Source organism: Homo sapiens, chromosome X (genome assembly GCF_000001405.40).
Source record: "Homo sapiens chromosome X, GRCh38.p14 Primary Assembly".
NCBI classification, from domain to species: Eukaryota; Metazoa; Chordata; class Mammalia; order Primates; family Hominidae; genus Homo; species Homo sapiens.
Window position 1 is genome coordinate 152,884,143 of NC_000023.11, and position 13,689 is coordinate 152,897,831.

General features: G+C 50.5%; 1 annotated feature.

Moving 5' to 3' along the window:
- Nucleotides 13,177-13,677: an enhancer, noted in NCBI's record as "H3K4me1 hESC enhancer chrX:152065863-152066363 (GRCh37/hg19 assembly coordinates)". NCBI's record gives its function as "activates a minimal SCP1, AML or CMV promoter by ChIP-STARR-seq in primed H9 embryonic stem cells {active_cell/tissue: H9 hESC(primed)}" and the evidence as "EXISTENCE:reporter gene assay evidence [ECO:0000049][PMID:30033119]".

The window sequence follows — 13,689 nt, forward strand, 5'->3', positions numbered from 1 at the left end:
TTTTGAAGGCTCTTTGAGACTTGAGTAGGTTTCTGCTCCTTGCCTCAGAGGCATCTTAACAAAGGTGACTCCTGACACCTTCCTGTAGGCTCTTTTTGCGTGGGGGATCTCTTTGAGGGGAGCTGGTTGGAGCTCCTTCCTGGCCTTCTCTGATCATCCAACACACACTCAACCATTCCCATACTGCCTAGGTGATGTCATGCCCTCCCGTGGCCTCAAGGGGCCATCGCTAGCTGCCTCTGCCCCTACAAGCTTGGCCTCTACCCTGGACGGTTCCTCTGAGCTCCTCCCCTGTGGTGTCCTGGTGTCAGCTCATCTTATCCACTCGGTTGCCATACAGGCCCCACAGCCTCACTGTCTCCCAAGTGAAAATCAGATCTCTATCCTATTCCCTTCCCCCAACTGTTACCCGTGGAGTCTCTAATTCCTGAATAAAAGATCTGTGCAAGTAACTGAGGCCAGCAGGCCCCTCTGTCTCTCCTTCCCAGCCCAGACTCTCTTTGGGCAAAGCTCATTCCTGGCTATTATGCACACCAAACACCAGTCCTTCAATTTGGGGCTGGGGCAAACAGTTTAACTCTCCAGTCTTAGGAGGAGAGGTCTCCCTTGTCGAAGATGGGAGTGGAGGCCAGAGAACGGGGAGATGAAAGTATATCCCAGCCACGTAGGAACATTTCTGCTGGTGCAAGAAACCTACATCAAAGTGGCCACAAGATGAGCTAATAGAAGGTGGATAAATATGAGTCCATGTTTACTGCACTTTATGTGGAATCTTGACCATGTAGGGAGGGAAGGGCCTGCCTGCGCCATTCTCCTGCTCCCACCCCTTTTTCCCAAGCTGAGCAGGAGCCCCCTTGGGTCTTGGGGTTGACTTTATAGCATTTGAGATTCTTATCTCTTCCTTCTAGTCTTTTGAAGTACATGATGACACTCTCTCCTTCCTCTGCCTTTTCCTCTGGGGAAATATAAGAAAGGAATAAAGACTTATTTGTCTGGAAAAAAACCAAGTCCAACTTTTACAAGTAGAGAATAAACTACAAACAACTTCAATCTGATGGTTGACTTTCACTGACAAGAAATTTCCTCCTTTCCTCTCCATCCCCATCTCTCCTTCCTTCCCTCTTTTTCTAAACATCTAGCAGCCTCCTTAACTGCCCTGTAGGCATAGCCCTGGCTAATACCTGTGACTGGAGGAGCTCTCATCCACCCAAGGTAGACATCATTTCACCATGCCAGGATGCAAGCTGTAGGCGAGGCCTGAGGCTCAACAGATCTTGGAATCCCCCTCTAAATGGGTATGGTCTCTGCAGAATTCAGGCTCCCCTTCTAGTCTATTCTTCTGAGGACCATCTCTTTCTATTTTTCCGTCAACACCCTCTGCCCCTCCTCTGACTCCCTCTCCCATCACCGCTACTCCTCCATCCTCTGGCTACCAGTTTTTGCCTCAGTACTAGGTGGCTTTTTACCAGACTGAACCCCTCAGGGTCCAGGCCTGGCTCAAAGCAGGTGCTCAGGACACAAGTATGGGCCACTGGAAGCCCTGTATCGTGGGGAGGGAGCAGGGAGTAGGGCTTCAGGAAGTGTCTGCAGGAGTGACTTCATACAATCCACTACGATTCTGATATTTTAAAACAAATAATATGTGTGACTTTTTAAAATGTCATGTAAAAACACGATTTAACTTGTCTTTAAAATATACCAGGTATTTACCAGGTTCGTACTTGTGAACAAATATTGTCTTCATCCAAACGTTAAGAATGGCTAAATGCCATCATGTTCCCTCCTCCAAAGCTACCCTCTTGGAAAAGACAAACTTGTCCAAAGAGGCTGCCTTAGTCTAGAACCCAAAGGACTTGTCACCTCCATAATTTGGAGACACAGCATGAGCAAGCTTCGCCTGCCACCCCACAGCCCCGCCCCGAGCCTGGCATACTGGGCCATTGCAGATTGGGTGGCAATACTGGCAGACATCTAGTTCTAAACCTTGAGTTTAGAAACATGGGCACTTGCAAATGGCATCTCTGGTTTCTTTCTGTCCTGGAAACGATCATCGTCTGTTCCCTCCAATGCTCACTGAGCATTTGGTGCGTGCCAGCCCCCATACCTGTTACCTAAGACTCAGGGAGGAATATAAGCTGGTTTCTGCCTTCTAGAGCTCACGGGCTGTCAGGTAGACAGAGGAAAACCCAGTCACCACCACATGATGTGCTCATGAAGGGACTGAGCCACGTGCGTTGGCTTGGCAGTCCCCAGTAGCTCAGAAGGGCTGCCATGGGGAGGAAGCATTTTCTTCCGGTGGTCTTTGAGAAACAACCTCTCTACACTGACACCAAGTACAGCAGCACCTGCCTGTGTCCCTTCACCTGAGTGAAGTCTTTGTTTGTCTTTGTTTGTTTTAGGTAAAATTAATTCTTTCTCAGTTCAGAGTGGCCCCTGATTCTGCCATACAAGTGTGTAGTAGATAAGTTCACGTTCAGTGTCGCTACGCCTTTCTGATTTTGCAGTCTTTATTTCCTTCTAGCTCTCACCTTTACAGACTTAAAAATGCTCCACTGGAAACATAGGTTGTTTGCTATTGGAGTTTTTTGGCCTCTGACACCCCTTTGGCTCCTTGCTTGTGCTCCTCAGGTTTCTCTGGGCCTTCTGGGGGGCTGGCTTCTCCTTCCCACCTGCTTTATAGGGAAGACACATTGCTCTTGGCTCAAGGCACCACCCAGAAGCAGAAGGAACTCTCTCCTGGGCAGCCCAGTGACTGGCACGGGCTCAACAGCTTGAAAGCTCCCCAGCCAGAGGAGGTCTGGCACAGATTGAACGGGCTTGTTGGGAAGTACTTGGGGGCCTCAGAATGGCTGAGTGGGCTGGGCCCACAGCAGCAGGGGCTGGCAGGGCTGGCTTAAGTGTTAAGAATAACTCTTTTCTGTTGTTGTTTTTATTAGTGCTTTTTTATTACGAAAGTAATACACTGCCATAAAAATTCAAAGAGTACAGAAAGGAATAAAGAGAAAACTCAAAGCATCTTCCCAGTCAGCCCACACAAACCCACTTCCTAGAGGCAGCAGTTATGATCAGTTTCATGTGAAACCTTTAATATAATTTTTATACATATGCAAATGTAACAAATATAAGAATGCATTTTTTGCAAATTGCTTTTCTTTAAAGGAAAAAAGTATATGCCCATTTTTTAAAAAGTCAAACACTACAGAAAACACAAAATAAAACATAAAAAATAAAAACAAGGAAAAGACAGCTCTCAAAATCCATATCTTAGAAGATAGCAAGTGTTGACACTCTGGAAGGTGTTTCTCAAAGCCTTTGGGCAATTTGACAGAAGTGAAATCACACTATTTACGCTGCCATGTAACTTGCTTTGATGCAAACTGCTATTTCTCTCTTTCATTCAACAATATATTATTGGCATTTTTCATGCCCCTAACTAGAGATCTAAAATCAACACCTCGATTGGCCACATAGTATCCTGTTATAACTTTGGAATGGATCTTCTGATAGAAACTTATCTTGTAACGAGTTTTTTAAAATATCATGAATAATGTTGCAATGAGCATACAGGTACTTAGTTATCTCCCCCTGATGCAGTTACTACCTGAGGATAAATGCCTAGATGCGAGGGTACTGGCAATACAACCCCAAACCACACTGAGCTGACACTTTCTATCCACTGCATTGAGAAAATAGAACACATCTGACAACACCAAGTGTTGGCAAGGATATGTAGCACTGGGAATTGTTTAGGCAGGAAAGTCAGTGTTCTGCTGTCAGATTGAACATGCACATACCCTGTGACCCAGCAATTCTGCCCCAGGATATATTATATAGATGGTTCATGACTTAACAATGGCCCGACTTACGATTTTTCCACTCTACCATGATGTGAAAGCGATACACATTCAGTGGAAACCAAACTTGAAGTCCCATACAACTATTCTGTTTTTCACTTTCAGTGCAGTATTCAATAAGTTACATGAGATATTGAACACTTTATTATAACGTAGGTTTCATGTTAAATGATTTTGCCCAACTATAGGCTAGTGTAAGCATTCTGAGCACATTTAAGGTAGGCCGGGCAAAGCTATGATGTTTGGTAGGTTAAGTGTATTAAATGCATTTTCTACTTAGGGTATTCTGAACTTATGATGCAGTTACATCCCGATAAACTCACTCCACATCTGGGAATGTTAAATGCTGCTGACATGTCCAGTAAAATGCAAACTGAAAACTGATCATTGGATTTAGCAACATAGAGGGGGTTGATGACCTTGACAAGAGCCATTTCTGTGTAGTGATGGGAGTGAAAGAGAAGGGAGGAAGAGGACTCTGAGAAAGTGTAGAGAATTCTCTGAAGGATTGTTGATGTAAAGGGAAGAAGGGGAATGAATGGACAGTAGCTAGAAAGGTGTATGGGGTCAAGAGAAAGGTTTTTTAAAATGGTGGGAAGAATTCCAGCATGTGTGCATGCTGAGCAGAATGATCCGGTCAAGAGGGAATAATTGATGGTGCAGGAGAAAGGGCGAAATGTTAGCAAGATGTTCCTGGGTAGGCAACAAATGGGATTTAGGGCACAAGCAGAAAACCTGACCTTTCATCTGCTTCAGGACACATCGTTCTCTTGTATCAGGATGGGGCAGAATGTGTAGATAATGGTGCTGTGGAGGTAGGGGATGAAGATGTTTATATGCATCTCATTTAATATAATATATATATGTACTATTTTTGTATGTCAGATAATAAAAAGAATTTTAAAATGTTAGCATTGTTGAGTCCAAGGGATACCTCATCATTCATTTTGTGGCATATTTTTAGATCACCACCCAGAAGGTTGCCCTGACTTATCCTCCCACTCTCAGAGCCCCTGGGGCAGAAGAGTGCCCATTTTCCCACACGCCAGGTACCCCAGGGTTTTGCAGATTTGTTTTAAGTTTTACATACCTGAGGCAGGGGTGGAAACAGTTGACTTTCTTTGCATTTCCTTCATATGCTAATTGGTGACCCGCAAATCTTCTTTTGTGATTATCTGTTCACTTCCTTGGTCCTTTGCTGATTTTCCTACTGGGTTGCTTTAAAAGGAGTCCTTTTTTATTTTCGGAAGATTAAGCCTTTCGCTGTCATATGCAGTTCAAATAACTCTTCCTCATTTGTCATTTGTCTAATGACAGTTATGGTGGGTTTTGCCATACAGAAGTTTTTAATTTCTCCATCTTTTATGGTTTCTGGTTTTCATGACATACTTAGAAAGGCTGTCCCCACCCCAGGATTCTTTCTCATACTTTTATGGTTTCATTTTTTTTACATTAAATTTCTGAGCCATCTGGAGTTTATTTTGGTGTGGAGAGTGAGGTAGGAAATCTAGCTTCTTTTTCCAAATGGCCAGTTATTCCAACATCATCTCTTGAATGATACACTTTTAATCCACAGATTCAAAATGCCACCTTGATCACACACTGCATTTGAAACTACACTCTATCCCTCCGTTCATCAATTTGGCAGCTGCTTCCTGTGTGCCTACTCAGGCATCATACTAGCATGAGGTGTGTTTCCTACATCCAGGAGGAAGGGAGAGGAGACACAGGAGACAGCGACCCTGCAGGGTAATAAGTGCTAGGGTGGAAGGCGGTGGAAGAGACACTTAGCTGGGTCTTGGTGGTTAGGGATGACTTCTTGTGAAGGCAATGACCTCTGAACAGACATGAGCATAGTAGCAGTTAACCAGTGCGAGGGACCGCAGTCAGCACTAAGTTCTAGAGACAGAATGGAGGCCTATGTTGGGAATCAGCAGGAAGTCCAGTATGGCTTCCATATGACAGGAGCTTAGAGCGTGAAGAGGCTGGAGCCATAGCAGGTACTAGACTTGGATGGCAGAGGGAATGAGGAGTCTCAGATGGTGCCCCTGTTTCTAGCCTGGACTGCTGGACATGGAGTCACCTTATCACCCAAGCAGGGCAGAGGGGAAGATGGCTCTGGCTGCTTTGCAGAAAGTAGATGCAGGAGTCAAGCGCAGAAGCCAGGAGACTGGGAAGGAGGTGATCGGGGACACTACTGTGTCCCAGGATAGTGGCAGTGGAAGTGGATGGTTTGGAGCTGCAATCAGGACTGGCTGCTGGATTGGACATGGGAGACGAGGGAAAGATCAGTTAAACACCTAGGCCTTGGGAGGTGCCTTTGATGATGAAGAAAACTGAGGGAGGAGAGGTTTGGAAGGTGAAGGATGGTGGCACAAGAGTTTGTTTTGAACATGTTTCATTTGGATTGACTCAGACATTCATGTGGTGATTTCAAGTAACAAAAGTAGCAATAGTAAACATTCACTGAGCACCACCATGTAACAAACTCCATTCCAAGCACTTTATGCACGCCATCCCATGTCATCTCACAACAACCTATGAAGGTAGATGCTGGCACTCTCATCTCTATTGTACAGGTAAGAAATGGAAACTCAGAGAGGGCAAGTAACGTGCCCAAGGTCACACAGCTATTAATTGGCACAGCTGGGATTTGCACGCAGTCCAGTTCCAGAGTCTGTGCTCATAGCCTTCATGCCTCCAGATAAGTGGGTGTCAGGGAAGCCAAGAGAAGCAAGTTTTTCCAGAAGGGGAAAGTGGAGTGATCAACTGTGGCCACGGGGTAAGTGAAGGCAGAAATGTGAACACTGGGTTTAGCAACATGGAGATGACTGGTGACAAGAATGATGTGAAGGGAGTGGTAGGGTTGAAGTCCTGATCCGGGTGAGTTTATGAGAGAATGGGAGGAGAAGGAGAGACAGTGAGTCTAGACAACTCTTTTGAGGAGTTTTGCTCAATAGCAAAGTGGAGAGATGGGGCAGTAACTAGAGGTGGGAGTGTGGTCAGGTGAGATTCTTTTTTTTTTTTTTTTATGTTGATGGGAAAGCTCCAAATGAAACAGACATTTTTATGATGTAGAAGAGAAAGGGATAATTATAAAGAGGGAAGAGTCTATGAAGGGGAGAAGGAGTGGAATCCAGAAGTTTATATTGGCACCATTCTGCACAGTTGCGTGACGTCTGCCAGCATGGTTCTTTGCCTTGGGGCAAGCATGAAGAATATAGACATTTAGCTTTGTCCAGATTTGATGCCATTATCATCAGGTGGAGGTGACAAAGAGACAGTAGGGTGAGAAGATTAGGATGTTCACAAGACAGCGGTTGAGTAAGCTGGATAGGGAGGGAAATGAAGAGAGGAAAGGACTAATGGATGGATAGAAAGTGGAGCAGCCAACAGTTGGGAGCTTGAAAGATAGTTGTCACAGAAGTGGTTGAACGAGCCTGCTGGAAAGAGAGGAGGTTGGGGCAAGAAGTTGGAAAGCCTGCATTCTCTATTCTGGAGGAAGCAACAGCAGGCAGGCTGCACCTGTGGGAAGAAGCGGCTGTGGTGGAGCTGACAGGGTCTTGGGAGATGCCTGGGGAGCCTGAGGGTTGGGGATAGCTAAGCCACAAGCATGGATGCTCAAGTCACACACTCACTACCACACCTCACTGCTCTCACCCTCACCCTCCCAGTCACTTTCTCACATCCAGGGCAAAGACCTGCCTGAATGTCAGGTGGGGGATGGTGTTGCCAGTTGGCCTGGGCCTCAAAGCGGGGAGGTTTTCATCCAATGGCAAACTGGACTATTCTGAGGTAGCTGGGGTGTGGGAGAAGGAAGAGCCTCCTCTGGATTGAGCTGCCGGGAGGGTGCCTGGCTTCAGTTTAGGAGGAAGTGGATAGCTCCCTCCAAGAAGGGCAGCATACGGGGTGGTGCAATCCTAGAACTTTCTGTGATGATGGACATGTCCACTATCTGTGCTGTCCAACACAGTAGCCACTGGCCACATGGGGCTATTGAGTACTTGAAATGTGGCCAGTGTGACTGAGGAGCAGAATTTCCTATTTTATTCCTTTGTAATTCACTGAAATTTAAATAGCCACATGTGGCCAGTGGCACCTGCAGTAATCAGTGGATTTCTAGAGACATGTGCTGGTTACAGGTTACAGAGCTGCAGTCCCCAAGGCCTGGGATGGGACAGGTCAGGGAAGAAGGAGAGGAGGAACAGACGGCACAATGCCAGGAAGGCTAGAGTTATTTGGTCGAGTTCAAGGTCTCCAAGTACAGGTTACTTGGGCCAAATGCAATCAACAGGAGCCAAATGCATCCCCCAGCCAGGCTGGTCCAATCCTTTTTGATGAGAGCCAGCCCCTTCCCCCATGCTGAGAAAATTAGAGTTTTCATCAAGTGAGGCTCTGACCAGCACCAGCGTGGGCAGAAGAAGGAGAAAAGCAGCAGGTCTGACTCCAAAGGTCGGGGACCACAGTCCTGCTCAGTTGAACAAAGGGGCACCCTCTGAGCTGTTCTCCCCTCTAATCTCCAAAGGCTGCTCTCCATGAGGAAATCAAGGCAGCTAAGCACCCAGGGAGGTTTCTGGGAAAAACTAATAAAGAAGCATACACCCTTTAAGAGGTGAAACCCAGTAACCTTTCCTCTCCTGTGTGAAGAGGACTTGGATTTGCAATGGTGTTTTAGGGATCCACTGCATTTCCTCTTCCCAGGTGGGCATTTCCCAAGCCAAGGGCAGTGCCCAGCCGAAAGGAACATGGCTGGGCATGGTGGCTTATGCCTGTAATCCCAGGCATAAGCACTTTGGGGGGCCAAGTCAGATGAGTTGATTGAGACCAGGAGTTCAAGATCAGCCTGAGCAAGACGGTGAAACCTCATCTCTACAAAAAATTAGCCAGGCATGACGGTGCGTGCCTGCAGTCCCAGCTACTAGGCAGGCTGAGATGGGAGGATTGCTTGAGCCCAGGATGTTGAGGCTGCAGCGTGCCTTAATTGTGCCACTGCACTCCAGCCTGGGTGGCAGACTGAAAAAAAAGAAAGAAAGACAGAAAGAAACAAATCCGCAACTCTCAGAGCCAGACATACCCTCTGGTTGATGTAGTTTCAGCTCCCTCAGCCAGTGGTTTAGCCAGGCCAGGCTTAGCAGGGCCCCAGAGTCGGAGCTCCCTCCCTCGCAGGACAGATCTAGCTGCTCGGAAGTTAGCGTTCACCTGCAGCCTGCATCTCTCTGCCAGACCTCCCAGCCTGGGGCCCCAGAGAGGTCTGGGCGGGGGGTGCTCACAGACCCCAACACTGACTCTGACCTTCCCATTTCTTGAGCATGTGGCAGCTTCCACACCTTTCCTCTTCCAGGCGCACACTCACAATGCCCACTGAGCACCAGCCCTGCCAGAGGGTCCTAGGAGCCTGGGCTGCTTCTGGGGCAGCAGCAGGGCCCCTGGGGGGCGGGGTTGGGCCCAGCTCTGGGGGAGGAGCTCCCAGCTGAGGCCAGGCAGCCTCCAGAGTCTCCAGGCTGAGGACCGCGGGGGCCCTCGGCACGGCCCCTAGCCGGCAGTGGCTGAGCTGAGCTTGGGGGGATGAGGGGGCGCTGGGCAGGGAGCCCACTGTCTCCTTCTCATGGCTTCCCTTCCTCCTTATCCCAGGAGCCTCCCTGCCGGCCAACTGTACTAAAACTCCGGAAAACCATGGCGGGGAGGTTTTCCAATTAGAACATTCTTTTTCCGACCTGTGGATGATTCTTAAAGCAGCAAAAAGCCATTCTTCAGGGCATGCAGGGAGTATCTGCCAGCGAGGCCTTGGCTCCACTCGCGCACTCGTGCTCAGGAGGCCTGGCCTGGGGCTGCTTCAGAGCCACAGACAAAAGGCAGAGCCTGTGTTGTGGGGCATCAGGTCACACAGACCAAGACTGATGGCTGAGAGTTTCCTGGGCTCATTCGAACCAGTAGATTCAAACGGCAGTGGGGATCCAGGCTACAGGAGTGGCAGATGTCAGACCACCTCTCTCCTTGCTTTGTGACAAGGCCACTGCTCCCAATGAGACCACTGTTCACACAGCAAACAATCCCCAGGCATGGCTGCTGTCCCTTGGAGTAGAACTGGGCTGCCTCCTCCCCCAAACTGGGAGCCGCAACAGGCCGGGACAGGGTCTGACTGGTCTCTGGCCAGGGTTGGGGTGGCAGTGCAGTGGGGCAAGTAAGAATGTGTGTGTGTTCCAGAGAGGGGGACCACAACCCCGTAGCTTGGAGTGCAGGCTGAGAACAGGGGGAGAGGAGCAGCCACTCCACATGCTGAGAGGCTGGACCAGCTCCTAGCAGGAGAGCTGGTTACAAACACAAGGGCCTGGCCTCACGGGTTCGGGGCTCAAAGGACCCATCCTACCTGCAATCACACCTGGGGACCCCTGCCTCCAGGGCATCCACCCTGCTTGGAGTCAGCAGAGTCACCCAGCAAGTGTAAACCGGTTGAAGAGCTTAAGAGGATGAGGTGGCAGGGCGGGCCCCGGGAAGGAGGGGATTAGGGATCAAGCAGGAGCCCAGCCCTCCCCGCACATGAACCTGAGCACCCCAGCTTCTCTCCAGCTGGGCAGGGGCTCCATCCAGAGCAGCTGGAACCCCAGGTTCTAAGCCCAGCTCTGCCTCAGACTAGCTGTGTAATCCTGGCAACATCTTGTCCCTCTGTGGGCCTCTGTTTTCCCATTTGTACAACTGAAGTGTTGAGGTTGCCTGCCTGTCTTCAGTCCCCTCTAGCTGAGGACACTGCCTGGGGGAGCTTTGCGGCCTGACAGCTTTCAGGGCCCAACCCCTCTTTCTCCCCCTCTAGCCTGGTAACTCTTTTTGTTTTCTGTATTTTTTGTAGAGACGGGGTCTCACCATATCGCTCAGGCTGGTCTTGAACTCCTGAGCTCAAGCGGTCTTCTCTCCTTGGCCTCCCAAAATGCTGGGATTACAGGCGTGAGCCACTGTGCCCACCTCCTAGCCTGGGAACTCTGGGGCTAGATCACCTTGCTTGAGTTCTCTTCCCAGCCCTGGAGATCAGAATGGGGCCTCCCCTGGAGCTGAGGAGTGCTGCTGGCCAGTTCTTTCCCAGCAGCCACCTGCCGTGCTACCCATCTCATTGCTTAGATGCAGCCTCCCAGAGACGCTGCCTCCACGGCCTGCTTGTGAGCTATGGCTTCTCCAGCACAGGGCTCACCACCTGCTACTCCCTGCCTCTACCTTTCAGCCTCTTGCCTGCCCAGACAGCCCAGCCTGGCCCCACCCTGAAGCCCCTACCTCTCACTTAGAGCCTTGCTGAGGGCCTGCTTGTTGGTGGGAAGAGACTGTCCAGTCCCCTGGAGGTGGCACTGCTGCCTAAGCTGGAGGGACTTCAGGAGAACTCTGCCAGAGCCAGGGGGTGGGAGCTGGCCTGTCTTGGAGCTGCGGATGGGTGGAAAAGTGCAAGAGATGTGAATAGGAAAGGATAGGGCCAAGCTCAGGCCAGGTAGGGACAGAGCCCAGCCTGGAGGCAGGCAGCAGCCACCACAGCCTTGGCCTAGAACTTGAGGGAGGTCTAAGGGAAGGTTCATGAAGGAGATAATGTTACTGCTGAGAGAAAGTGGAGGCCACCTGGTGTCCCTGGGGAGGAAATGTCATTCCAAACAAAGGGAGCATCTTGTGCAGCGTCCTGGTGGTATTTGAGCACTTGGTCTATCTGGGTACATGTCATTTGGGCATGTCTGGTGCTTGAAGAGGCTGAAGAAGCCAGCAGGTGCCTGAAGCCTGGCTGAGGTGACTAGAGGTGCCCTGGCAGGCGTGGAAGTGGAAGACTGTTGGGGCAATGGACAGGTGGGCAGGGCAGGGCAGGGCAGTTACCATTCAAGTCAAACCCGTTTGCAGGCAAGATCAGCTGCAGGGCCTGGCAGCCTGGCAGGGAGGGAGGGGTTCAGGGAAGGCTGATCTCTTTGGCTGGAGCAGTCGTGACAGATCGGGCCTGGGCAGAGACTGAGTCACCTGGGACATGGGAAGAGCTTGAGGCCCTGGGGCGGCCCAGCCTGGGGCAGTCCTCACTTGCTGGCCGTGCCGTTGGACACCACATTTGCTCATGCTCTCCAGCTGGGCCCCCCACCCCTGACTCAGGGCTCTTGAACAAGTTTGCCTTTTCCCTCTTCCTTGCCCTACATCTCACCCATCATGATGTCTTCTACCTTCTACCCTTTCAAACTAGGGGCTCTTGAAGAGGACTGGGACCCAGACAAAGAGTATGACACAGCCTAAGTCATACAGTAAACATGTTTAGGAGGTAAGATGCCAAGCCAAATCCATGGCCACCAGTAGCCACAGTGGAGGAGGGGAGGTGTTAGTTGCTGGCCACCAGACAGGGGCATACAATATTGGAAGCAGAAAAATGCTTGTTGGCAAGAGACGGACATGAACAGAAGTGACTTTATATACAACCCCCTAAGCACACACAGGGTCGCCTTCTCCCTATCTCATGAACCCCAAGAAGAAAAGGATGAGGACAGCTTCCACAGCCTCACTCACCCATCCATCACTTCCTTCTGCAAATTCTTCGGATGCCCTGTGCTGGTCTCCGTGACCCAGTGATGAATCAGAAGGGGCCCTGCCCTCCCAGAGCTCAGGATCTAGAACAATAGAGGGTGACAGCCACTATGCTGGATTGATGTCATCTGAGGGAACTAAGGGGTGCACAGAAGGAAGTGATCAGCTCGACTGGGTGGCAGGCAGGGGAGGCTTTCCGGACACTGGGTGGAGGCTTGAAGAATGACTAAGAGCTCACTAGCCCGACGGGGATGAAGAGCATTTTAGGGAGTCCGAGGAGCAGGAGCAAACACCCCAAGGTGAGCGCCATGTGATGTATTCAGAAGGCAATGGAAAAAGGCCAGTGTGGCTGTAATGTATTGAACAAAGGGAAGAGTGGCTGGACCTGCAGGGATAGGTCGTCTCAAGGAGTCTGGCTTTTACCCTGAGAGCAATGGGAAGCCATGGAGGAGTTGCAAGCAGGAGAGCACCTGATCATATTGACACACGTGAACTTTTAACCTGACCTCCGTGTAGAGACTGAGGGAAAGGAAGGCAAGACCAGAGGCAGGGGGACACCAGCAAGGAGGCTGGTCTTCGGGGCCAGGTCTGGACTAGGGTGGTGGCAGCAGGCACAGGGAGAAGTGGGTGGACTGGAGGGCCATGGAAACACCACATTGGCAGGCCTTGATGAAGGAGAAGCAGCTGGTCCATTCTTTTGAGCCTACCACCCTGGTAGGCCAACTCCTGGCCAAGTCCATGCCATTTCTTGGGCTGGCTTAATTGTCTCCCTGTTTGGGAGGCCGTGGGGTGAGGGGTCTTTCCTCCATGCTCTCTCCATCCTTAGCCCCAGCCCAGGGCCTTGCACACAATAAAGCACTCGGTGAGCACCAACGCGTGACACAGGTACATCAAACCGCATTGGCTCTGGGAGTCTGGCTGTATCTCGTCGCCCAGCCTGGGAGATAGCCCCGTTTGCTGTGCCTTGTGAGCCCCGGGTCCGTCCCAGGATGGCCTTCCACGATGAGCGGCTCCCTCACTCTTCTCCTCCTTTCCTGCCTGCAGGACTTCCTGGATGATCTCAGCCGCCAGCCCCCCGCCCCCCTCCCCGCCCCTGTCTGGGATCTCCATCTGTAAAATGGATCTAGGAACGGTAGTTCTCGACTGAATTAACCCGACAGCATCTGTGGAAGTCGTTGGCCCTGTGCCGGGGCCAGATCGCGCAACTAGGAGCGGGGGCCCTTCACGTGGCGGAGGCTTCCCGGCCTGGGGGCCACGGGCCCGGAGGAATTTGCCTGGAAGTTTTCCATCACGGCAGAGCCTTCTGGAG